We start from the raw sequence: 26,662 nt of genomic DNA, 5'->3' as shown, positions 1-26,662 counted from the left end.
AGGGACAAAGATAAGGATAACAGCATATTTCTTGTTAGAAACAATACAAATGAGAAAACAGTGGAATATCATCTAAATGCTGAAGGAGTGGAGGATGGGGGAGGATTGTTAACCTAGAATTCTATACTCAGCAAAAAACAAAGGCAAAGTAAAGAAACTTTCAACAATAGCTGAAAGAATTACCAACAGAACCACTCCAAAAAAATACTACCAGAAGTCCTTCAGGCAGAAGGAAAATTATACTAGATGAAAATATGAGTTTATAAAAAAGGATGAAGAGCCCTGAAAATGGTAACTATGTGGGAAATGTTAATACTTCTTTCTTATTATCTGAATCTTTCCAAAAGCTAATTGATGGACCAAAAGTAATAACAAGGTATTTTGGCTAATGTAAAGGCTAATGTAAATAAAGGGGCATAATATCACTTGAAGGTGACCTGTGATAAATGATGTTTACTAAAAATTCTAAAGCAACCATTAAAATAACAGTTATAGATATAAGCCAACAAAAGAGATAAAGTGAAATAATAAAAAAATGCTCAATTAAACAAAAATAAATAGACAGGACAAATAGAGAACAAGTAGCAAGATGGCAGATTTAAACCTAGCTATATCAATAAATACATTCAATGCAAATGGTCATGACACTCCAGATAAAAGACAGAGATTTCCAGATTGGATAAGAAAGCAAGACTCAAGTGTATGCTACTATAAGAAATCTATTTCAAAAATAAAGTCACAAATAAGTAAGAAGTAGGAGGATGGGAAAAGATATACCATGCTAACACACATCAAAAGAAATATGTAGTAGCTATTATATATCAATATCAGACAAAGTAAATTTCAGAGCAAAGAATATTACCAGAAATAAAACAGGTAATTTCATATTACCATTATTAATGGAGCCAACTCATCAAGAAAAATAACAATCTAAAACATTTGTGCACCTAATAACAGAACCTCAAAATACACTAGCCAGTAAGTGATAGAACTTCAAGGACAAATAGATAAATCTACAATCATAATCTAATATTTAAATACTCTGACCTCAATAATTGATAACTGATAAAAGAAATAAACAGAAAATCAGCCACAATATAGAAGCCTTAAATAACACTATGAACAAACTTGCCCTAATGGACATTTATAGAACACTCAATTCAATAACAGTAGATACATATTCTTTTGTAGTGCATGAAGAACATTTACCAAGACTGACTACATTCTGGGCCATAAAACAGTCCCAATAAATATTAAAGGATCCAAGGTCACATAAAGTCTATTTTCATATTATAACAGAATTAAATTAGAAATCAATAACTAAAAGATAACCTGGAAATCCCCCAAGTATTTGAGAAGTAAGTAGCACACTTTTAAATAACCCATGGGCAAAGGAAGATATTTTTTAAAATTGTAAAGGTTTTTGAACTGAATAAAATCAAAATGTGACATATTAATACTTGCAGATGTTATTAAAGCAGTACTTAGAGAAAATTTATAGCACTGATGCTTGTATTGGAAAAGAGGAATGATCTCAAATCAATGTCCTTAGTTTTCACCTTAAGAAACTAGGAAAAAAAAAAGCAAATTACGTTTAAATAAAGCAGGTCTGGGCACGGTGGCTCACTCCTGTAATCCCAGCACTTTGGGAGGCTGAGGCCGGTAGATCACCTAAGGTCAGGAGTTCAACACCAGCCTGGTCAACATAGTGAAACCCCGTCTCTACTAAAAAAACAAAAATTAGCCGGGCATGGTGGCGGGCGCCTGTAATCCCAGCTACTCGGGAGGCTGAGGCAGGAGAATTGCTTGAACCCCGGGGGCAGAGGTTGCCGTGAACTGAGAAGGCGCCATTGCACTCCAGCCTGGGCGACAACAGGGAAACTCTGTCTCAGAAAAAAAAAAAAAAAAAAAGAAAAAGAAAAAAGAAAGAAAGCAGAAGTAATAAAGATTAGACTGGAAATAAGTGAAATAGAAAACAGAGAGGGTGAGAGAGTGTGCGTGGCGGCGTGTGAGTCCTGTTTTATTATTCCTATAGTGCTCTGTAAGCTCATTTTTCTGCAGCTCTTGTGTGTTTTCTTGTTTTATTTCTTCAATGTCTGCCTCTCTGCTCTCTCCTAGGTCTGCCAGCCAGAAGAGCAGATCTGATTTGAGGGCAGCTGGGAAGCCGTCCAATCTGGAGAGCCTCTACAATTAGCAAAACAAGGTCTGGAATTCCTGGACTTCACTCCTTGTTAGCGAGAAAGCGAAACACGTGATGTTCTGCTTTGCTCTCAGTGTCAAAACCTTGTGCTCATGGGCCCTGGCGGCTACACAGAAAGCCCTGAGGACTGAAACCCTGCATGGGTACATTTTGATGGGGCAGGAAGAAAAGTTCTGGAGTGTGGAGAGCAGAGGTCCAGAGCATTCACTGATTTAGCCACAGAAGAAACAGATGCGGAAACCGGGGCACAGCAGGCGAAGTGAAACTTCCCATGTTCCAGCAAAGCCCAGTCCATAACGTGAGGCTTTGTGAGGTTTGTGTGTGCGACCTTCACCCCTTCACCTGGACCCTCTCTTTGTCCTCCTTTCGCACCCAGTGATGTGTGGCCTGGATCACTTCCCTGCCCTCAAGTCTTGCCCTGGCCTGACGTTCAGCGGACCCTCCGTGCATTAAGGATGGAGGATGGTTCCTTGTGCTTCCTCTACCAGGTGCACTTGTATCTGCTCGGAATTCTGGAAGAGCAAAGACCCACTGGCCCCACTAATCCATCTATTGATCCTGCCCCGGTCAGCAGGCTGGGTCTAGCCTCCACACTGCCGCTGCTCAGGGTCTGTGGAGGAAGTCGCTGCAGCCATTCAGCCAGGTGGGTCTTTCACAGGGGTGAGGGCAGCACAGAGCTCAGAACCTGGGGCTCTGGTTGCAGGAGGACTGCAAGTGATGAGCCCACAGAGCATGGGGACGGGGAAAGGGGAAGCCGGAAAGCCGCACATTGTGAGCAAGGGGTCACAGGGGAGATGGGGAGCCATGGGAGGATGCCTGTCCAGTTGTCACTGCCCACACCTACCGTGCAGTGGAGGAAGACCCCCGACGCTCTGGGCCTGCCTTGGGGGCACCCGGTAGTCCCCAGGCAAGGACTGACCTGTCTCCGCTGGGAGGACGCGCTGCACAGGGCAGATGGAAGTGCCTGCGAGGGCCAGCCTGAGCTGTGAGGTGGTGGGGTCCAGTTGTTATAGGCACAGGACGCCACAGCAAGGGAAGGGAGGGCAGAGGCCAGGAAAGGAAGCCGCTCAGGGGTCGGATGGCCTCGTTCCTGCCCACCACAGCAATTACTCCTGAAACTGGTACCACCCTGCTCTAATGTCCCCTGGCCAGGGTGGGGACAACCTGACTCATTGTAGCCTGAAGTCCCCGGGTCCCCAGAGCCCCCGTTGCTGATACACAGCAGGATGATTCACCCCCCTGTGGAGCTCCTGGAGCCTCCCCTCATGACAGCCAGCTTCTGAGGCCCATGCTACCGGTATGTCACCACACGTGGGGGCACGTACACCCCATATGAGTTTGCCTGGGTTGACACGACAAACTAGCAAAGACCGGGGGCTCAAACAACAGACTTCTATCGTCTCTCAGTCACGGAGCCTGGAAGTCTGAGATCAGGGTGTCTGCAGGGTGGGCTTCTCCTGAGGCCTCTCTCCTTGGCTTGCAGATGGCCGCCTTCTCCCTGTGACCTCGCGTGGTCATCCCTCTGTGCATGTCAGGGTGGTCATCTCCTTTTTTTTTTTTTTTTTTTTTTTTTTGAGATGGAGTGTCGCTCTGTTGACAGGCTGGAGTGCAGTGGCGTGATCTCGGCTCACTGCAAGCTCCGCCTCCCAGGTTCATGCCATTCTCCTGCCTCAGCCTCCTGAGTAGCTGGGACTACAGGCGCCTGCCACCATGCCCGGCTAATTTTTTGTATTTTTAGTAGAGACGGGGTTTCACTGTTTTAGCCAGGATGGTCTCGATCTCCTGACCTCGTGATCTGCCCTCCTCGGCCTCCCAAAGTGCTGGGATTACAGGCGTGAGCCACCGTGCCCGGCAGTCATCTCCTCTTTTTATGAGTACAACAGTCATACCAGATTAGGGCTAACCAATGAGTTCATTTTAACTAAAAGCTCCTAGATACGATAAATGAATTCAGTAAACTTTCAGGATACAAAATCAATGTACATAAATCAGTAGCACTGCTATACGCCAACAACAGCCAAGCTGAGAATCAAATCAAGAACTCAATTCCTTTTACAACAGCTGCAAAATAAATAAATAAACAAATACATACATACATACATACATACATACATACTTAGGAATATACTTAACCAAGGAAGTGAAAGATCTCTACAAGGAAAACTACAAAACACTGATGAAAGAAATCATAGATGACACAAAGAAATAGAAATACATCCCATGGTCATGGATGGGTAGAATCAATATTGTGAAAATGACTATAATGCCAAAAGCAATCTACAGATTTAATGCAATTCCCATCAAAATACCATCATAATTCCTCACAGAAGTAGAAAAAACAATCCTAAAATTTATATAGAACCAAAAAAGAGCCTGCATAGCTGAAGCAATACTAAGCAGAAAGAACAAATCTGGAGGCATCACATTACCTGACTTCAAACTATATCACAAGGCTGTAGTTACCAAAACAGCATGGTACTGGTATAAAAATAGGCATATAGACCAATGGAACAGAATAGAGAACCCAGAAATAAAGCCAAATATTTACAGCCAACTGATCTTCAACAATGCATACAAAAACATAAAGTGAGGAAAGGACACCCTGTTCAACAAATGGTGCTGGGACAATTGGCAAGCCACATGTAGAATGAAACTGGATCCTCATATCTCACCTTATACAAAAATCAAGTCAAGATGGATCAAAGCCTTAAATCTAAGAACCGAAACCATAAAGATTCTAGAAGATGACATCAGAAAAACTCTTGTAGACATTGGCTTAGGCAAAGAATTTATGACTAAAAACACAAAAGCAAATGCAACAAGGACAAAATAAATAAATGAGATATAATGGAGCTAAAAAGCTTCTGCACAGCTGCTAATAATAATAATAATAATAATAATCAGCAGAGTAAACAGACAACCCGCAAAGTGGGAGAAAATCTCTACAGTCTATACATCCAACAAAGGACTAATATCCAGAATCTGCAAGGAAATCAAACAAATCAGAAAAAAAAAAAAACCTAATAATCCCATCAAGAAGTGGGCTAAGGACATGAATAGAAAATTTGCAAAAGAAGATATACAAACAACCAACAAACATATGAAAAAATGCTGAACAACACTAATTATCAGGAAAATGCAAATCAAAACCGTAATGAGATACCACCTTACTCCTGCAAAAATGACCATAATTAAAAAATAAAAAAATAATAGATGTTGGCATTGATGTGGTGAAAAGGGAGCATTTCTACACTGCTGGTAGGAATGTAAACTAGTACAACCACTACGGAAAACAGTATGGAGATTCCTTAAAGAACTAAAAGTAGAACTACAATTTGATCCAGCAATCCTGCTACTGGGTACCTACCCAGAGGAAAAGAAGCCATTATATGAAAAAGACACTTGCACACGCATGTTTATAGCAGTACAATTCAGAATTGCAAAAATATGGAACCAACCTAAATGCCCATCAACCAATGAGTGGATAAAGAAAATGTGGTATATAAACATGGAATACCATTCAGCCATAAGACAGAATGAAATAATGGCCTTTGCAGCAACTTAAATGGAGCTGGAGGCCATGAATAATGAATAAGTTAAGTAACTCAGAAAAAGAAAACCAAATATCATATGTTCTCACTTATAAGGGGGAGCTAAGCTATGAGGATGCGAAGGCATAAGAATAATACGATGGACTTTGGGGACGTGTGGGGAGAGGTGGGTGAGGAAAAAAAGACTACATACTGGGTACGGTGCACACTGTTTGGGTGATGGGTTCACCAAAATCTCAGAAATCACCACTAAAGAACTTATCCATGCAACCAAAAACCACCTGTTCCCCAAAAATGACTGAAATAAAAAAAGAATATACTGGATTGTGAAACCATAAATGGATTCAAATTTATATGAAATTTAGTATATGATAGAAAGCAATATTTTACAATAGTGGGGCAATAATAAATTAATTAAAAAGTAGTGTTAGGTCAACAGGCTTATCATTTGGAGTAAAAGTTAGATACATTACATGATATCTTACATCAAAATAAGTTCCAGATTCATTACTTAAGCATAAAGATGAATAAGGCTGTTAAAATATGGTGCTAGAAAAAAAAACAGGTGACTCTTTAAGCAAATATAAAACAGGGCAAGTATAACACTGTAGCTAGAAACTATAAAAGAAGACATTTCAAGGTTTAACTAACAAAATTTTAAAAATTAAGTTTAGAATTAATCACCACACAGAAAGTTACTAAGGCGCAGTGACACATGCCTGTTGTCCTAGCTACTTGGGAGGCTGAGGTGGGAGGATTGCTTCAGCCCAGAGTTCAAGTCCAGCTTGGGCAACATAACAAGACCCTGCATCTAAAAAACAAAACAAACGAAAAAAAGAAAGTTACTAAAGAAATGATCAACTAGAAAATAAAAATGTTTGTATCACAAAGTTAATACCCTAAAGTATATACATAATTCTTACAAACTAAGAAGAAAGGAGATGAATATCCCCTCAAAATAATGAGCAATAACAACTGCCAACTTTTCCTATTTGAGAATGGAAGCTGCCTTAATGAATTAATTTGTATTCCCTTCAGAACAAACTTTTGAAGTAGTTACTGTGTTTTCTACACTTTGGAGGTAAGGAATCAGAAGCTTAGGGAATGTAACCAAACTCCCACATTCACTCGGCTGGACTTGCAGATTCAGGCCATAGCCCTAGACATGCTAGGTGCTAATCCCTAGGCTGCAGGCCTCTCTTGAAAAGACAAGGCATCTAAATTGCTAAGAAATATAACTTGGCAGATTAAGAATGTATGTTGCAGTCTGGCGTGGTGGCTCACGCCTGTAATTCCAGCACTTTGGGAGGCCAAGGCGGGTGGATCACGAGGTCAGGAGATAAAGACCATCCTGGCTAACATGGTGAAACCCCGTCTGTATTAAAAATACAAAAAATTAGCCGGGCATGGTGGTGGGCGCCTGTAGTCCCAGCTACTCAGGAGGCTGAGGCAGGAGAATGGCGTGAACCTGGGAGGTGGAGCTTGTAGTGAGCAGAGATCACGCCACTGTACTCCACCTGGGCGATAGAGCGAGACTCCAAATATAAATTTAGCACACATTAAAAATAACAGTAAGATTTTTCAAGCCCCCCTGAGGCTGAGAAACATGAACAATGAGTAACACCCAGCATTAGTGACACTGTGGGATGTTAAAGAAAATATTATGCAATATTTAAATAATACCTTGTTAAAGCATGGCAAGGTAGGCTTTATTCAGGACCATTGTGATACGTACAGGGACAACAGCAATGGGACTGTGCAGTGGGGAAGAGAGATCAGCATCAACTATGAATATACCACAGACAAGTCGGAATTTACAACCAGGAGCCAGACTAGGGTCAGTGGATGGGAAATGACTAAGAAGAAGCATCAGGGTTTAGGGGGTCCCTGGCTAATCCAACCTAACAGTGTTCTTGCTGAAGACAGGTCAGCATAACCAACATCACCTGGGGGATGGTGGTGGGTGAAGAATCTGATCAGACATGAAGGACAGGGAGTTCTTGCCAAACTGACTTAGCTTTGTTCTTGCTAAATCTGGATTTTGCAAGGAAGTGCACAGATGGGTCAAGGGGAAGGTTCAGAAGCCTGACTAAAGTTTGGCCAAGCATATAATCTTTGTCAAGGGACAGACAGTCTCACTTGTTGGTAGCCATGTGAAGCTGATCACATCTCTGGGTGGAGGGGAGGGTGCCAGGGGAGGGGAGGAGGCACTGATCTGGCCATGGCACTCGGGATACGAATGTGGATGCCTTTGTATCCTCAGTGCCATACTTTGTATCCTGAGTTGGTTTGGGCCTTTTGACCAAACCAACGGGGAAACTAATCTTAGAGCAGCATATGGTGACGGGGGTACAGAGACAGGCTTCGAGCAAAGGCCTGGATGTAGTTCCCAGCGTTGCCCTCACTAGAAGTGTAGGCTTGGGCCAAGGAAGCTGGAGGTTCTTCATCTTCCAAAGTGGATAGTAACTGTATCTGCTCTTAAAGTTGTTGTAAGGACCAGTAGGCTGTAGAAGAGCCTAAGCTGTTTGTGTCTTCTGTGATTGTTTGCTTTTTAAAAACAATGATCTGACAGCTGTTATTGGAATATATATTTATATATGTATGTAGTTCTTTATGAGCATATATGTATGTGTATATGTATGTATATGCATGTGTGTACATATGTGTGTGCATGCTCATGTGCATCTATGTGTATCTATATGCATGTGCGTATAAGTGCATGCATGTGCATGTATATGTGCACATGTGTATGTGTGTATTATGTGTATATATGAATCCATAGACGTATGTATATATGCACATATATACATGTTTGTGTGTATCTATGCATGCATGGACATGCACATGTGTGTATGTGTACGTATCTGTGTGTGTGTGTGTGTGTGTGTGTGTGTGTGTGTGTGTGTATGGAGGGGCAGGGCCACTGGCAAAAGACTTGGCTTTAGAAGTAGAGAGGCTCTGACAGGGAGGTTTCTTCCTAGCGGCAGGGCAAAGGGAGCAGAGATGCTTGGAAGGGAAAGAAGGAACCCGATTTTCTCTGGAGAGGGCCCCAAAGCCTGTGCAAGGCTCGTTCTTGAGCTGCTGACCTCAGCAGCAGAGATGGGGCAAAGTTAGAGAGGCCAAATGCAACCAAGGGTCAGCCTGCAAGCAGAGAAAAGTGCTCAGTTAAAAAATTACTCGAGCCACCCTTTGGACTGACTGAAGGCCTTGCTCTTCCTCCTGCCCCACAGGCTATCAACTGGTGTATGGCTTAATTATTGACGTTTAAAAGTGAGTTAACTGCTTTCTTACAGATGAATCGCAATTAATAAATGTGGAACGAATGAGAGACGAAGACGATGAGCACCAGAGGACTGCAGGGAGCACGGCTGAGGCAACATCACCAGAGGATAGTAAAATTAGCAGACAGAGATCTAAGCACAAACAGTGTCTCTGTGTAGCCTTAAAGCATCTCTTTGAATATTTAATGGTTACAAAGGAAAAACAGTGAGTTGATGGGGGAGAACCCTGGCAGGCACCACCCTAACCAAGAGATCAAAGTTGGCATGACCAGGCACAAGGCACACTAACAGCCCACACCCACTGATCTGGCCCACCGAAAATGCACATCACTTCTGTGGCATTGCCACGGAATTTCCAAAAAGGCATTACCTCAGTCCAATGCAGAGAAGGCGTCAGGCAGACCTAGGCGGAGAGACTGTCCAAGAGCGACAGACCCATCCTCTTAAAAAGCCGGCCCTGACACAGAAAGGAGACAGAGAAAGGTGACAGCCAAATGCACGTGGGAGCTGGGAACAGAGGAGGGCACTGGGAGGGGCCTGCCTGCCGTCCAGCTCTCGAGACCACGGCGAGGTGAGTCTCAGCTCTCATAATCGCACTCTGATTCATGGAATGCCGGCATGAGAAGAGGCTGGGGGTGGGGAGGCTGCTTTCGCAATTCTTCTATAAGTCTAAAATTATCTCAGAATGGGACACTTTCGAAAGTGAGTTCATGAATAGAAACAGGCAGTGGCAGTGTATGTGTCACCCTCTAAGCATATTCCATGGCCCTTGCTAGGATCCGACTTGTGCTGATTTAGGAACAAATACTGCAGGTGAGATGGCACCACCATGAGCACTTTCTGCAGGGTCTTCTGGACAGGCATGGAAGGGGCTACCTGAGCCCTGGGGTGAGAGGCATTTAGAGTCCGACGTTGACACATCTCAAACCAGACCTCTCTCAGACAGCCCAGGCCCTGTGGCCACCAGGTGTGTGCTTACACAGGCCAGAAATGCTTCACCCCTACAGACATGTCTGGGTTCTCCACAGCTCCTCCCAGACCCCGAGGAGGCTCCTGGAATGTAACCTGGCCAAAACGGAGCTCCAGATACCACCCACCCACAAGCCAGCTTCTCCTCTGTCTTCCCTAGGTCAGAAAATGGTCCCAAACCAATAACTCATCATCTTTTCTTTTTGAGACAGGGCCTCACTCTGTCATCCACTGCTAGAGTGCAGTGGCACAATCATGGCTCATTGTACCCTCAACATACCCAGCTCAAGCGATTCTCCCACTTCAGCCTCCCAAGTAGCTGAGACTACAAGTGTGCACCACCACACCTGGCTAATTTTTTTTTTTTTTTTTTTTTAGAGATGCAGTCTTGCTATGTTGCCCAGGCTGGTCTTGAACTCCTGGGCTTAAGCGATCCTCTCACCTCAGCCTCCGAAAGTGCTGGGACTAGAGGCATGAGCCACCGCCCCTGGCCTAAACATCATCTTTGATTCTCTGTTTCTTTCATGCTCTCCTGTTTGCTCTGCCTCCAAAATCTATCCTTAGTCCATCACTTTTTCCCCCTCTGCCCCTTCGTCTCTTCTCCACCAGGCAGACAACTGAGCCTTTTAAACCTCCATCAGATTTGTCCTCTCCTGGCTTGGACCCCTGCAATGACTTCTTACCTGGGTCCAGCCTCCTCTGCCCCTCCTGCCACCTGCAGACCTTCGAAAGGTCCTCTTTGTCTCCTTCTGGGAGCTGCACCCCTGCCCTGTCTTCCTGCTAAGCACTGGCTGCTTCCCTCCCCTCGTCCAGACTCAACCCCATGGACACCTCCCCCACTGCTGCTCGCTCGCTCTCCCTTCTCATCTCATCCTCCTTCCTCTGCAGTGCTTATTCCTGCCTGGAATGCTCTTCACTGATCCTCGTGTTTATCAACCCCACTCTTCTAATGCCCATCCGTGAGAGCAGGGCCTTCTCTTTCCCTGTTTTGTATCTCAAATCTAGAACAGCATCTTGCACACAGTAGATGTTCAATAGACACTCCTTAAGTTAATTACTTAGTGAATTAGCCACTTTCCCTTCTTTAACTGTAGCCCTCCCGTGGGGAGCAGCAGGAGCTGGGCAGGCGAGATGGCCCAGGGGTTTTCTGGAGGGAAAGATAGCAATAGAAACTGTTGGCCCTGTGGCTGAGTCTGTGGGGAATGGAGAGTCACTTGGGGTGACATAGGGTCACCTGGAGCCTGCTAATTCCTCAGAAGTGGTGGAACTCTTCCCACCTGTTAATGAATGGCCCGGTGTGGGAACTGGGACCCCAGCCCTGTGCTTCCCTGGAGCCAGTCTGTACCTGGCCTCAGGTAATCATGCCACAGGGAATCTGCTCCACATCCTGGGAAGTGGAGAAAGAAGAAATCAACCAAACAGCAGGGTGCAAAGGAGGGGGCTTGCCTTGGGGACTGGAATGAATGCTCCTCTGTGGTTTTACTGTTTCAGCCACTTCCGTGGACACTTAGGGTGTGGAGGGAATGAATTAGGCGAGCCGTGATGGCAGCAGGCCACAGAAATTAAAGGGATGGCATTTGTTGAGTGGGTACTCGGGGACTTCTGGGCTGAAGTAAGAGGAGGCTAAGCCCGGCAAGGAGCAGGGATCACAACAGTTCCAGGGCACCTGGCTGGCTGGCCCAGCCATGAGATTTGAAACCTCGTCTCCTGGTGCTGCCAGATCCATGGAGCCTGAGTTCTAGGTCTCTGTTCATCCCTAACATTCCTGGGTGACCAGCTGATCAGCAAGCCACAGGCAGGTGGCAGAGTCCTGGTCACAGATGCAACCGGCCCAGGGACATCTGTGAGCCTGGAGAAAGCACACATCAATGGCAAAGGCCGGGACGCAGCCACCTGGGAGAGTGGCAGCCCCGGCCTCCTTCCCTCCTCCAGGGAGCATTGCTGCTGTGGTTTAGGAACACTCGTTTGCAGTTTACTTATTGACCAGCCAAAGTCTTGACAGTTTTAAAGAACACTCTTTAATTTATCTCAATGTCCAATTTCAGCCCTCCCAGTTCTGGCGAACCTTCCTCTGTCCCGACCTTGGTTATTCATTCCATGTGGGCTCCTCTTTCTTCTTAGCCTCTCCACCTACATTGTTCTGGATGCTTCTCAAGCTTTTCTCCTGCTCAGCTGGACCTCTTTTGTGCGGTGTCAGTCTGATGTTTCGCAGCTTCCAGGCATTATTTTCAGGGGTCTTTTGCAAGTCTTCTATTTTTGCCCTCATTAAAAAATATCGTGGGCTGCTCTGGTCTTAAGGTTGCTGTGCCCTCTTTCATTTCCTTGTAAGTAGGTTTCTGCCATCCTCTGAAATTTCAAGTGGGAAGCCACCTGGAGGCTAGGTGAACAGGGCAAGGGCATTGCCCCTTCCTGTGGGAGCCCCTCCCTAGGTCACACGTGACTTTTCCTCCACTTGCTCAGAAGTCTTTCCATTTAACTGCCTTTCCTCTTCAGCGGCTGCTGAGGGTTCCTGGTTGTGGGAGAATGTTTCAGACATGGCCCTCTGTCACCTTCTCTGAAGGCAGTGGCCTGTAACAAGATGAAAGTGGATAAAGATAAAAAAGATTCAAAAAAATGGTAAAAGTACAGAATGAGACCTTTTGACAAGGCTTATATGAAAATTTTGAAGTAACTCCGTCAAATGGCTACATTAAATGTAAAAGTGGTATATAATTTAAAATGGCCAAATAATATGTAAAGTGACCCAGTTCTGTTTTCTTCCAGATTCAGAAGGGAATTGGGCCATTCCTTCTCCAAAGCAGAACGTACTGCAGCTGTGAGAGTTCTAGGAGAAAATTCAGGTGGATGCTTCTGTAATCTTGGAATGGAGGCTAAGCCTGGCAACAATGCTAGAAAACAGTGCTGAAGTTTGACAGATTTAGCCACATACAATGGCAAATGACAAACTGTAAAAGGAATTCTTGTGAGACAGAGGAAGGAAGGAAGGAAGGAAGGAAGGAAGGAAGGAAGGAAGGTAGGAAGGAAGAAAGGAAGGAAGGAAGGGGCACCCTAATAGGGCAAACAGTAGTATAGGTCAGAAATAACTTTGAAAGAACCACAGGGTGCTGGTGGGCCAATCAGGGACAGACAGACCCCCTCTTCCAGGGGCTGGGCTGGGCTGGGGTGGGGTCCACAGGTGCAGCCCTGGAGCTGGGCTTGCCTGTCTGCATCCAAGCATCCCTGTGCTTTCCCTGTGAGCTGGCAGTCCCCACTATGAGATTCTAGCCTGGGAATGTGCTATAGGGAAGCTTACAGCAGCAGATCATAGAAAAGCAAAATAGAAATGTGAAAGGAAAATAAAAACTTGGGACCCCTACTCCCTCCGCCAAAAGAAAAAAAAAATGCTGAAAGTGGAGTCATGCAAGAAGCTGCCTTTCCCTTTGTTCCTAAGCAGATAGAGACAGATAAAAGGTTAAAGATCTCCACTCTGCATTCACCTTATCTTGTGTGAAGAGTCGAGTTACTGAGCATGGGACGAACACATAACTGACCATTCCCCTACATGCTCCTTTTCTTTTGCAACATTTGGATTCAGTAATGTGACCATACCCTCCCTCTGTCCCCTCCAGCTGGCTTTTTCCTTTAAATACTGAAGCCCTCGAAATCATCTTTGGAGAAAGGCACAGACCTGTCTCCCAAGACGTGTCCTTAATCTTGGCAAAGTAAACTTCTAAGTTGATCGAGGCTTGTCTCAGATATTTTCAGGTTTACAGAAAGAAATTCAATTTCAGTCACAAACGGAATGATAAAATAAGTTGTTACGCATCCATAGAAAGAAGATATTAACATGGTAAGCCCTGTATTTATTAACCTATGCTTACGATAAATAAAAACAGGCTGTATGGTCAAAGGTGGAATACAGCTATAAGGAGAGAAGAAGTGAGAAATGTATCGTCTTTTAAATTCGTTTCCTTTATTACTAGTGAAGTTGAGGATATGCTCCCATTTAGGGGCCGGTTACTTTGTCTTCTGTGAATTGCCTGTTAAATCCTTACCCATTTCCTACTCTTTTCTTATTGATTGGAAAGACATGTTTATGCAACACAGATATTAACCATTGGCACATTACTTCTATTGTAAACTATTTTCTCCCTGCCTGGAATTTGTCCTTTAATTTGTTTAAGGAGGCATTCATTTAGTTCTTGCAATATTCAAATCTGTCAGTCATTTCCTTTACGGTTTCCAGGTTTTGTTTGCTGCTTAGTAAAAGCCTTCTTCACCATAGGATTTTAAAAATATTCTTCCATATTTGGCTTTAAAACTTTTATAGATTTTTTAAATGTTTAGCTCTTTAATACACCTGGAGTTTATTCTTGCAAATGGTAAGAAGATTCTAACATTGGTTTCAAAATGGATAGTGAGTTTTCCCCAAAGCCTCTGTTGACCTTCCATCTTTCCAGCTTGGCTTTGAAAGGTCTCCTGTATCAAATACTAAATTTCCCCATAAACATGAATCTGTTTCTGGATTTTCTGTGTGAATTACTGAAGTCTTTTTGGAGGTTTTCGAAATCATCTTCAGGATTCCTATATATTTTCTCTTTCAGATGAACTTTCAAATCAGCTTCTCAAGTGTCAACATCCTGTTGCGATTTTCATTGATATTGAACTGAATTTATAGATTTTGTAAGCAGAAAAAAATTATTTTAATTTTTTGAGAAAAAAAGTTTTAAATGGTTTGTTTTCAGACTGTGTCAAGATATCCCTACCTCCGAAGTTGTCAGGTTTGCGGACCTTGGGGTGAAGCGTGGGGCTGCTGGAGGCGTCCAGCCCTGACTGTGTGTCCAGGACAATGAGCCCCGAAGTGAGCGGGCCGCGTCCTGTTGGCGCAGCCAACTTCACGCCCTCTGTCCAGGGAGGACTAAGGGACAAGCTGCAGCAGGCGCAGAGGACGCTGTTGGTGTCCGGGAGGCCGCTGGTACAGGGCGTTGGGCGTGGCTCCTTTCCAAGTGCCTTGCACTTTCCAGGCTGGGCTGCAGAAGCAGGCTCGGGGGCGACTCGCGTGGGGACTGAAGCAGCCAGCCTTGGCACCTGCCCACAGCAAATAACTGCCTTGACTTGATCTGGTTTTTTTGAAGAAAGGTTTATTCATACCCATTATGTGCGCATGTGTAAATTCAAACCCACGGCTTGCCGGAGCCTGGGCTTTCTCGAACATCAGTTGCTCCCATGCTACCATTTTGCAGTTTGCCCGTCTCCAGTAGATGATTTCTGAATATTTTAATCAACTCATTATTAACCATTCACACGTCTACCTTAGCCTCATTTTAAGCAATTGCACCTGTGGGTTTCACAGGCCTGCTGTATTTTTAGTACATATTAAATAAAGCATGTCTGTTGGGGCGTGCTGTGCTTGCCCACCTGCCATGTCGAGTCATTGTAGCCGCACGCTGGCAGAGAGGACGGAGCCTGAGTCCGGGTGCCGAAGGCGTTGGTCTTGCCCGGGCTTTGGCCCCAGCCGCTGCCAAAGACCTAGAGGAAAGAATTTCAGCGTTAGGGCTTCATCCGCCTATCGTGGAATCAGGACTTCGACTCAGCGCTCCAATTGCTGGGGCGGTGAAAGGCGTATCCCCGCGGCGCGGCGCCTGAGGGAGCCTCTGGAGCAGATTCCCATGCACAGACCCTCGCGGTGATGGGGACGGAGGGGGAAACCCAGGCTCCCGAGCAAGCTGGGGCTGGCTTGGGGCCAAGGAGTGTCCTTATTCTGTAGCTCCCAGAGCTCACAGGAGGGGGCTGGGGAGGAAGCGGACAGCCGGGAGTAGGGGCAGAAGAAAGCGCCCACATCAACTGGCTGGCACGAACCACATGTTCCCTAGAACGGGAATCCCTGCCGGGTGAGGGAGGCCGGAGCTGAGCCGCAGCCCCAGGAAGGGCGGGGCCTCTTCAAAGCATTCCCTCCGCAACGCTCTGGTAGCCCTGGGACTCCAGCCTCGCCTGCCAGCCCCAGCTCAAAAGGCCTCTGTCTCCCTCGGGCCTGGGGGTGGGAGCAGCCTCAAGATAATGGAGTGCGTGAGCTGGGGCCTCATTCAGACCTCTCCCCACCGTAAGGAGAGAACAGAGGGCCCGGACAGGGAGCGGGGGACTGGGCAGAATCACACAGCCAGCCAGGGGCTCCAGCTACAGTCCCCTGAACCAGCCCAGGCCATCCCTGACTCCCAGGGGACACTGGTAGCTGTTTTGGCTCTATTGGGGCCGGGGGGGTGGGGGGAGGCTAATGCTATGGAAAACATGCCGTAGGCATAGTGCAAAATGGACCAGAAGGAAAATTTTTAAAGTGGGACAAATACAGTACAGAATGCTGAGCTAATATGCTTAAACATCTTAAAGCAATACATAATTTTTAAAAGAAATGTCAGGCCAGGGGTGATGGCCTGTAATCCCAGCACTTTGGGAGGGAGAGGCAGGAGCATCCCTTGAGCCTAGGAGTTTGAGACCAGCCTGGGCAACATAGGGAGACCTCGACTCTTAAAAAAATAAAATAAATGTCAAGTACTAAAATTAACTCAAGATATAAAAAAAACACTGGAAAAGAAATCTCACTTAGGTGCAAGTCTCAGAATCATAGCAAAGCAAATGTAAACCAAAAATTAAATTCTAAGGCTCCCCCCAACCATCTGAATGGAACCCTCCTCTTGGCCAAAGGTATTCCAAAGTTAACCTGAAAAACTTGTTTAGGCCATGATGGGAAGAGGGGTGGTGGGACATGCCTCTTTATACCTGCCTCTCTTTTGGAATTCAGGAAAAGGTGACCAATGTTAACATCAACATAGACCTTAGTGTCTGATGAGAAATATTTACCAATTCTCTCTGAAGGCTGCTACTTGGAGGCTTCATCTGTGTCATAAAACCTAGGTCTCCACAACCTCTTATAGTAACCCAGACATTCCTTTCTATTGGAAATAACTCTTTCAAGCAATTAGCAGTCAGAAAATTCTTAAACTACCTATGACTGGGTGTGGTGGCTCACACCTGCAATCCCAACACTTTGGGAGGCTGAGGCGGGCAAATCACAAGGTCAGGAGTTCAAGACTAGCCTGGCCAACGTGGTGAAACCCCATCTCTACTAAAAATACAAAAAATTAGCTGGGCATGATGTGGGGGCGCCTGTAATCCCAGCTACTTGGGAGGCTGGGGCAGGAGAATTGCTTGAACCCAGTAGGTGGAGGTTGCAGTGAGCCAACATCATGCCACTGCACTCCACTCCGGGTGACAGTGCGAGATTCTGTCAAAAACAAAACAAAACAAAACAAAACAAAACAAAACAAAAAAACCTACCTGTGACCTGGAAGCCTCCACCTCCCCCTTTAAGTTTACTTATCATCAAGACCTCCTGAGGCTGTGTCACAGGTGTGTGTTCTTAACCTTGGCAAAATAAACTTTTTCTAAATTGATTGAGTCCTAACTCAGATATTTTTGAGTTCATATAGAATATGAAGAATCCACCAGGACAATAAAACAAAACAAGGCTTGTCCAGGGATTGTAGACATGGATCATTCTTGCAAGATCCATTACTGCTGGTCATTAGATTATTAGGCAAAGCAAGAGATTAGCGCCTCAAAAGGTTCTGAATAAGTATTTCATAATGTAATACCATATTTAGTATAAAAAGCTTTTGCTGGTTAGGAATAAAATATCCTTAATGAAACAAAAGGAATTTTACCAGAACCCAACAGGCATCACTATACTTTCAGGGAAAGACTTGAGTGGTATTAAATGCCTTTGAAAATCCAGTGGGGAACCTGGATGTTATACACACAAAAATAAATTTGTGGACATGCATTGAAAATTTTGTACAGATTTTCAAGGGGCTCATGGGGCTGCTTGAAGCCTTTTGGTGGCCCTCTTAGACATGTCTGGACCCTGGCTTCAGGTCTCTGAATTACAGGGGGTAAGCCAGAGTCACATGCAAGAGTGACGTACTCAGTTCTGTATTCAAATCCCAGCTCTGCACCCAGATGCGTAACTGTGGGCAACTTACTTAACCTAAACTTTGTACCTTTGCTTCCTCATCTGAAACTGTGGCTCACAATGGAACCCACTTCACAGTCATAAGGAGGATTTAATATTAATGTATGCAAAGCTCCTAGCATATAATAAGAGCTCAATAATGTGTAGCAATGGACTATTATTCAAAGGAAACACATCCTTTTGGGAATAAAATAAAGATTCCTGCCTCATCTGTCACTATTTCATATTGTATTTGAGATCCTAGACAATGAAATGAGTCTAGAAAATTATTTAAGCTGTAAATATTAATAATATAGATAAGAACCATTTTTACAAGTATAATTTTAACTCCTCAAATTTAAGAAAATAATATAAAAACTATTAGAATCAAGAAATGTTCAGTAAATTAAACAGATTTTCCATATAATAGAAATAATCATAAGATATAAAGGGGTATATTCTATCTCTCATAGCAACAAAAACTTAGAAATAAACTGAAACATAAATGTGATTCTAGTCAGGGCAGTAAGTGAAGAAAAATAAATAAGAAGCATCCAGATTGGAAAGGAAGAAGTAATGCTATCTTTATTCACAGATCACATAACTTGTATGTAGGAAATTCTAAGAAATCCACTAAAAAACTATTAGAACTAATAAAAGAGTTCAGCAAGTTTGCAGGATACAAGATAAATGAATATACAGTAATGTGCCACACAAAAACATTTGGTTAACAATGGATCGCATATACGATGAGGGTCCCATAAGATTATAGTGGAGCTGAAAAATTCCTACTGCCTAGTGACGTCGTAGCTGTCGTAATGTAGTAGCACAATGCATTACTCACCTGCCTATGGTGATGCTGGCGAAAACAAACCTGCCGTGCTTCCAGTCATTTCAAAGTCCAGCACACACAGTTATGTACAGAACATAGTGTTTGATAATGATAATAAACGATTATGCTACTGCTTTATTTACTATATTCTATTTTAATTGTGGTTTTTAGCATGTACTCCTTCTACTTATTTAAAAAAAAATAGCTGCTGTAAAACAGTCTCAGACAAGTCCTTCAGGAGGTATCCAGAAGAAGACACTGTCATCACACAGGAAATGACAGCTCTATGTGTCATAAAGCTGAACACCTTCCAGTGGGACAGAATGTGGAGGTGGAAGATGGTGATGTTGATGATCTTGGCCCTGTGTTAGCTTAGGCTAATGTGTGTGCGTGTTCTTCATTTTTAACAAAAAAGTTTAAATAGTAAAAAGAAAATAAAATCATTTTAAAATAGAAAAATACTTATAGAATAATAGACAATATTTTTATACAGCTGAACAATGTATTTGTGTTTTAGTCTGTGTTATTATAAGTTAAAAAGTTAAAAGAAAATTAAGTTTATACATTAAAAAAGATAGGTAAGTTTAATTTATTTAAAATATTTAAATATTTAATTTTTTTATTTTAAATATTTTTATTTTAAATATTTAAATATTTTAAATATTTTTATTTTAAATATTTAAATATTTTAAATATTTTTATTTTAAATATTTAAATATTTTAAATATTTTTATTTTACATATTTAAATATTTTAAATATTTTTATTTTACATATTTAATATTTTAAATATTTTTATTTTACATATTTAAATATTTTAAATATTTTAAAAATGAATTTAGTGTAACTTGAATGTACAGTGCTCATAAAGTCTACAGTAGTGCACAGTAGTGCCCGAGGCCTTCACATCCACTCACCACTCACTCACTGACTTGCCCAGAGCAACTTCCAGTCCTGGTAGCTCCATTGATGGTAAGTGCCTTATACAGGGGTACCATATCTTATCCGTTGTAATATATTTTTACTGCCCCTTTTCTATGTTTAGTTATGTTTACATACACAAATACCATTGTGTTACAATCACCTACAGTTTTCAGTATAGTAACATGCAGTATGGGTTTGTAGCCTAGGAGCAATAGGCTATATTGTACCATATAGTTTAGATGTGTAGTAGGCTAAATCATTCAGATTTGTGTAAGTACACTCTAAGGTGTTCACACAATGACAAAATCACCTAACATCACATTTCTCAGAATGTATCCCTGCGTTTAAGTGATGCATGACTGTACAAAACTTAGTTGTATTTCTATATGCTTGCAATGAACAATCTGAAAATAAAATAATGAAAACAATTCAATTTGTAATAGCATCTAAAGGAATAAAATGCTTACAAATAAACAAAAAGAAGTGTGTAAGGGTATTGAAAAAACATTATCATTTTCCCCCACTGTACTCTTACAATACAACACAGAATTCTTCTGTGAACAAATATATAAGGATTTCTCCCTACCAATCCACCAAGCAAATTTCGGCCAGATTCTCTAGTGGGCACCAGTTAGACGTTCTCTAATTCAATTAAATTCTGACTCTGTTTACCTAGAGATAGTGTTAGATTCCACAGATAGAGGGCTCAGCCCCACAAAACTACCTCCAATTCAGATACCTGGAACCCTGACTACAAACCAGGATTGCCATGACCTCCCTCCTTGGGGTCAATTAATTTGCTAGGATGGCTCACCAGAACTCAGGGAAGCACTTTCCCACATTTGCTGGTTTAGTATAAAGGACATTAAAAAGAACACAGATGAACAGCCAAATGAAGTATATGTAGAGTGAGGTATGTGGAAAGGTGTGCGGCAGTTTCATGCCCTCTCCAGGCATGACACCCTCCAGGAACCTCCATATGTTTAGCTATCTAGAAGCTCCCTGAACCCAGTCTTTCTACATTTTTAATAGAAGCTTCATTACATAGACATGGTTGATTAAATTGTTGGTCACTGTTGATCAACTTAACCTTCAGCTTCTCTCCCCTCTTTGGAGGTTGGGGGTGGGGCTGAAAAGTCCCAACCCTCTAATCATGCCCATGTTTTTCCTGTGATCACCCCCACATCTTCAAACTACTTAGGGGCTGCTATCCACCAGTCATCTCATTAGCATACAAAAGACATCCTTATCACGCTGGAGATTCTGAGGGTTTTAGGAGTTGTATGTCAGGAAATAGGACAAAAACTATATATATATATATATATATATATAAATATATTTATATATGTATATCACAATATCACAATGTAATGTGTAAAACTTATACTCAGAAAACTACAAAGCTTGGTTGAAAAAAATTGAAGAACTTAAAAATGGAAGGACATCCCATGTTCATGGATCGCATATGGTATAAGATGGCAATACTCTCCAAATTGTTCTACAGATTCAAGTCAATCCCTAGATTCTTTATAGATTTTGACAAATGGATCTAAAAATTAATGTGGAAACTCAAGTGACCCAAAATGGCAAGAAGATTTTGAAAAAGAAGAATGAAGTTGGAAGGCTTGCATTTCCTAGCTTCAAAACTTACTACAAACCTACAGTAATCAAGACCATGTGGTACCAGCGTAAGATTCAACAGAATAGAATTGAAAGTCCAGAAATAAACCCCATGTGTCTATGGTTAACTAATTTTTAATAAGGGTGCCAGGTACATTCAACAGGGAAGGAATAATCTCTTTAACAAATGATGCTGAAACAATGGAATACCCTAATGCAAAAGAATGTACTTGAACACTTACATCTTGCCATATACAAAAATTGACTCAAAATGGATCAAAGACCTAAATGTGAGTCCCAAACCTAAAACTCTGAAGAGAAAACACAGGGTAAATCTTCATGACTTTGTATTTGGCAATAGATTTTAAAATAAGACACCAACAGCATGAACAACAAGAGGAAAAATAGATACATTATACTTCATCTAAATCGAAAACCTTTCTGCCTCAAAGGACACTCTCAAGAAAGTGAAAAAAAATCCCACAGAATGGGTGAAAATATTTGCAAATCATATATTTGATAAGAAACTTGTATCTAGAATATATAAAGAACACAGCTCAATAATAAAAAGACAACCCAATTAAAAATGAATAAAGGATCTGAATAAACATTTTTTCAAAGAAGATATATAGATGTCTATTAAGCAAATGAAACAGTGATCAACATTATTAGACATCAGAGAAATCCAAATCAAGACAACAATGAGATACCATTTCACACCCCCACTATATAATAGCTCTAATCACAAAGTCAGACAATAATAAGTGTTAGCAGGGTTGAGCAGTAATCCTCATAGATTGCTTGTGAGAATGAAAAATGGAGCAGCTGCTTTGGAAAACAGTCTGGCAGCTTCTCAAAAAGTTAAATGTGGAGTTACCATTAGACCAGCAGTACTTTTTCCAAGACGACTGAAATATGTCCACATAAAAACTTGTACATGAATCTTCATAGCAGCATGATTTGTAATAGCCAAGAGGTAAAAATAACCAAAATGCTCATCAAATAATAAATGAATAAACAAAATGTGGTTTATCCATACAATAGGAATATTATTTGGTCATAAAAAGGAACCAAGTACTAATACATGCTTCATACAATATGATTGAACCTTGAAAACATCATGCTAAGTGAAAGAAGCCAGTCATAGAGGATCACATATTATATGATTCCATTTACATGAAATGTCAAAGAGCCCTGTTGCTTTGGTCTGTAGGGATAGCAGATGGGGCTGGGGTGGGATAGTAGCTAAAGTGTACCAGGTTTCTTACTGAGGAAATGAAAATGTTCTGTAATTGAATCTGGTAATAGTTGCACAACTTTGTGAATATACTTAAAAACATTTAATTGCACACTTTCAATGAGTGAGTTGCATGGCACATGAATTGTATCTTAATAAAGCTGTTAGAAAAAAATTAAGTAAATGGGCGCAAACCAATGTAGGGAAACAATAACAATAAAAGTCAACTAAAGGCATATAAAGAGAATTAAATAAGCAGTGACTTTCCAGATTCCTGGAAAAGGAGATTCAACATTTTAGAGACAGAATTTCTTTTAAATTAATCTACTGATTCATTTCAAGTCCATTCAAATGGAAGTGATTTGAAATTCAATGGTTGATTCTAAATTTAATCGGCAGGAATACATGTTTGAAAATAGTTCAGATATTTTTGAAACAAAAAAAAGCAATGTGGTTATTTGTATTATCAGATGCGATATCATATTATAAAAGCACAGTGATTGAAAGAATTCTTCAGGGCACAGGAAAAGGCAAATAGAGCAATGCAGGAGTACAGAGAAACAAAACCAGTGTCTTGCATGCCCGGCCCTTTAGTAGGTGATAAAAGTGGCATTCCAAATCAATAAAATGGATTGCAGTTCACCCTTGGATAATGCAGGGGTTAAGAACACCCCTCACCTCCCATGCAGATGAACACTTGTGTATAACTTTTGGCTCCCCCAAAACTTAACTACTAATAGTTTATTGTTGACCAGAAATCTTACTGATAACATAAACAGTTGATTTACACATATTATGCATGTTATATGTATTATGCACTGTATTCTTACAATAAAGTAAGCTAGAGAAAAGAAAATGTTATTAAGAAAATGCTGAGGAAGGGAAAACATATTTACTATTCATTAAGTGGAAGTGGATCATCATAAAAGTCTTCATCCTCATCATCTTTGTGTTAAGTAGACTGAGGAGGAGGAGGAAGAGGAAGGGTTGGTCTTGCTGTCTCAGAGGTGGCAGAGGCGGGTGAAAATTTGCCTATAAGTGGCAAACCCTTGCAGTTGAAACCCTTGTTGTTCAAGAGTCACCTGCATTTGGTAAATAACATTGGGCTTTATGGCCAAAATCAGTAAAAGTTAGATTTCTTCCACATACCTATCCATAAGAATAAATTCCAGAAGAAATAAATATTAAGACTTTAAAAATAAAACCTTAAAGGAATTAGAATAAAATATGGAAAATGAATTCTATAAACTTGGCATAGAGAAGGCTGTTGTCAGCCAGCAGAAAAGGTTGATTTCCCATAAAAACTAAAATTTCCACATGGTAAAGGCCTTAAAATAAATGATGGAATGAAAAAAAAATAGTTTAAAAATTTCAACATTTGTGGATATTTTAAGATCTGAAATATATAAAGTATTCTTAAATTCAATAAGAAGAAGATATACATACACATATAAGACCCTTCAAATATTATGTATGTAAAAAATACATGAGTTGAATTTAGCCTGAGAACGTCTTTGCCATCACAGGATTTTTTTTTTTTTTTTTTAGACAAAGTCTCGTTCTGTTGCCCAGGCTGGAGTGCAGTGGCATGATTTCGGCTCACTGCAACCTCCACCTCCCGGATTCAAGTGATTCTCCTGCCTCAGCCTCCTGAGTAGCTGGGATTACAGGCGCGTGTCACCACACCCGGCTAATTTTTGTATTTTTAGTAGAGACAGGGTTTCACCATGTTGGTAAGGCTGGTGTCGAACTCCTGACCTCGTGATCTGCCCACCTTGACCTCCCAAAGTGCTGGGATTGCAGGCATGAGCCACCACGCCCGCCCCATCACAGGATTTTTTAAAGTGAAGTTGAAGGCTCTTCAGAAGGGAATGCACTGGTTGGTTTAAAGATCCTGGGTGCTAAGTGAATACTCACCGCGGAGGGATCTTGGCAAAGGAGAACCCGAGGCCCTGGAAGGACAGGATCGTTGTTAGAGGGCACTCTTAAGCCCCAGGCCCTGTTTCAGGACGCTTAAACACTATCATCAAGTTATCACTGAGACCCAGAGAGATTAAATAACTTAACCAACATCACACAGCGAGTAGGTGGTGACGCTGGGATTTGAACCGAGTTAGCCTATTCCAGGAGTTGGCTGCAAACCACTGTAGCGCAGCTGCCAGGGAGCGGGGTGGGCTTTCCTCCATTCTGTTTCTCATGCCAGAAGCCTGGGAGCTCCCTGGACCCCTGTTCCTCTCCTGCCCGCACCATCCAGGGCTGTCTGTGCACCGATAGCGGGCCCCCGCAGGGCATGCCCCCCAAGCCCCCCACCCCTCAGGCCTTTCCCAGCTGCAGGACTCTCCACCAGCCTCTACTCCCCCTTGGATCCCTATATCCTACTTTCCACGCAGCAGCCCTGGGTGATCTCTTCACAGTGCAAATCGGATGTGTTTACTCCCGGTCCTGAAATCTCCCAGCAGCTCCTATTGCAGCTGGAGTCTAATCTTGTCCTTTGAATGGTACTGCCCCTCCCAGTGACCACTTTGGCCCTCACTGGCCTTGTGCTTCCACCTCACGGAGCAGGACGGGCAGTTTCCTCTGACTCTGCACCTGGGTGACCCCTACTCACTCTTACGTGGCAGGTTCACACCTCCTCTTCAGAGATGCTTTCCACCAGCACCAACTAGGAGGGAGGCCAGGACACCACTGGAGGAGCCAGGGAGGACACTCCTAAGACCTCTTGCTTCCAGCAGCGTCCCATTCCAGCACTAGTCCCCATGACAGCCTGGGCTCTGTGGTGCTAATGGGCAGCACTGTTTGCTCCCTTCCTAGAGGCTTAATTTCAACATCAGGTTGGCCACAGTCCTTCATTCCCATCCCAACCTCACAAGGCTCTGAAAACTGACATTTTGCTCATTAACAATTTGCCAGAAAAACCCGAATTGCCCTGAATTCATGTAGTGGCAAAACTTGACCTGAACTGACTGAAGCCATTATAGTCTTCACTTGCCCTACTTAGTATGAATACTCATAACTGTCACCATGGGAATGTTGATGCATACTACCGGGTGCTGCCTCAACCCCTGGAGAGAGTGTTACACAATACAGAGTGTGGACACTGAGTGCCTTCTAACACTTCATGGAGTCCGAGTTCAGAAGCCATCTGGCCTGGGGAGCTCAGGGCTCCCTCTTCTGTCTTCCAACACCTTGCCCCCTCTTGTCTGTTGTTGCTTCTCTGCCTCATCCTGTGGGGCTGGCGCAAAAGCTTGATTCTTGTAGGGGTATGGGAGGGAGGAAAGACAAGCATGTGAATTCACTGTCACATTTTACAGGATGGTGTCACTTTAACAATTCAGAAAGGAGGGAGAGCGAGCAAAAGAGAGAGAGAGAGAACACATAAGAACGTGTGATTCATGAATACCAGTGAAAGCAACCTGTCCCACATCTCCACCAGGATCACAACTCCAGCCCGTGAGATGTCAATGGCCATTCTGTGCCTGCAAATGTGATACTCTGAGGGCATGCTCATGGGTACCCAGCCTGGAACGAATAATCTGAATATAACTGATACGGTTTGGCTCTGTGTCCTCACCCAAATCTCATGTCAAATTGTAATCCCCAGTGTTGGAGGGGGACTTGGAAGGAAGTGATTGGATCATGGGGGTTGCTGTTCTCGTGATAGTGAGTGAGTTCTCCTGAGATTTGGTTTTTTAAAAGTGTGTGGCACCTCCCCCCACCCCTCTTCCTCCTGCTCTGGCCAAGTGAAGGTGTGCCTGCTTCCCCTTCACCTTCCACCATGATTGTAAGTTTCCCAAGGCCTTCCTAGCCATGCCTCCTGTACAGCCTGCAGAACCGTGAGCCAATTAAACCTCTTTACTTTATAAGTTACGCAGTCTCAGGTATTTCTTTATAGCAGTGTAAGAACAGATTTATACACTAACCAGCAAAATGAGAGATGCGTTCTTTATTAAACAAAGGGAGAAGGCATCATATGCTTCAGAAATGTTAATGTCATACAGAGTCAAAGAAGGGCTACAGAAATGTTCCAAATTAAAGAATGGGATGACTAAATGCAATACCTGATCCT

The 26,662-nt window shown here is 42.7% G+C and overlaps 1 protein-coding gene and 1 long non-coding RNA gene across 4 annotated transcripts in view, besides 4 other annotated features; one reads left to right on the top strand and one right to left on the bottom strand.

Moving 5' to 3' along the window:
• The window catches only part of KLF15 (KLF transcription factor 15), a 69,284-nt gene extending 53,887 nt beyond the window's left edge, over positions 1–15,397 (top strand). Inside the window, exons 3-6 of one of the 3 annotated variants that reach the window (XR_924449.3) lie at positions 2,119–2,843; positions 9,045–9,603; positions 12,765–13,830; positions 14,585–15,397. The gene's annotated coding sequence lies outside the window, so the exon portion shown is untranslated. Of the gene's footprint in view, positions 1–2,118; positions 2,844–9,044; positions 9,604–12,764 lie in introns of all 3 variants that reach the window. The other 2 variants (XR_001740124.3, XR_002959509.2) reach the window with 2 other exon arrangements.
• Positions 2,089–2,289: a silencer, noted in NCBI's record as "peak4813 fragment used in MPRA reporter construct". NCBI's record gives its function as "represses an SCP1 promoter by STARR-seq MPRAs in K562 erythroleukemia cells {active_cell/tissue: K562}" and the evidence as "EXISTENCE:reporter gene assay evidence [ECO:0000049][PMID:32103011]".
• Positions 11,248–11,748: an enhancer, noted in NCBI's record as "H3K4me1 hESC enhancer chr3:126010617-126011117 (GRCh37/hg19 assembly coordinates)". NCBI's record gives its function as "activates a minimal SCP1, AML or CMV promoter by ChIP-STARR-seq in primed H9 embryonic stem cells {active_cell/tissue: H9 hESC(primed)}" and the evidence as "EXISTENCE:reporter gene assay evidence [ECO:0000049][PMID:30033119]".
• On the bottom strand, positions 11,997–25,283 carry LOC107986124 (uncharacterized). The gene is made up of 3 exons (XR_001740882.2): positions 25,205–25,283; positions 24,514–24,548; positions 11,997–15,509 (listed from the first exon to the last, which is right to left on the bottom strand). It is a non-coding gene; the product is annotated as an uncharacterized LOC107986124 (long non-coding RNA).
• Positions 14,436–14,980: an enhancer, noted in NCBI's record as "H3K4me1 hESC enhancer chr3:126007385-126007929 (GRCh37/hg19 assembly coordinates)". NCBI's record gives its function as "activates a minimal SCP1, AML or CMV promoter by ChIP-STARR-seq in primed H9 embryonic stem cells {active_cell/tissue: H9 hESC(primed)}" and the evidence as "EXISTENCE:reporter gene assay evidence [ECO:0000049][PMID:30033119]".
• Positions 14,981–15,526: an enhancer, noted in NCBI's record as "H3K27ac-H3K4me1 hESC enhancer chr3:126006839-126007384 (GRCh37/hg19 assembly coordinates)". NCBI's record gives its function as "activates a minimal SCP1, AML or CMV promoter by ChIP-STARR-seq in primed H9 embryonic stem cells {active_cell/tissue: H9 hESC(primed)}" and the evidence as "EXISTENCE:reporter gene assay evidence [ECO:0000049][PMID:30033119]".
• Positions 25,284–26,662: the final 1,379 nt, after the last annotated feature.

This window comes from Homo sapiens, chromosome 3 (genome assembly GCF_000001405.40).
Source record: "Homo sapiens chromosome 3, GRCh38.p14 Primary Assembly".
Lineage (NCBI taxonomy): Eukaryota > Metazoa > Chordata > Mammalia > Primates > Hominidae > Homo > Homo sapiens.
This window is presented reverse-complemented; position numbering and strand designations above follow the sequence as displayed.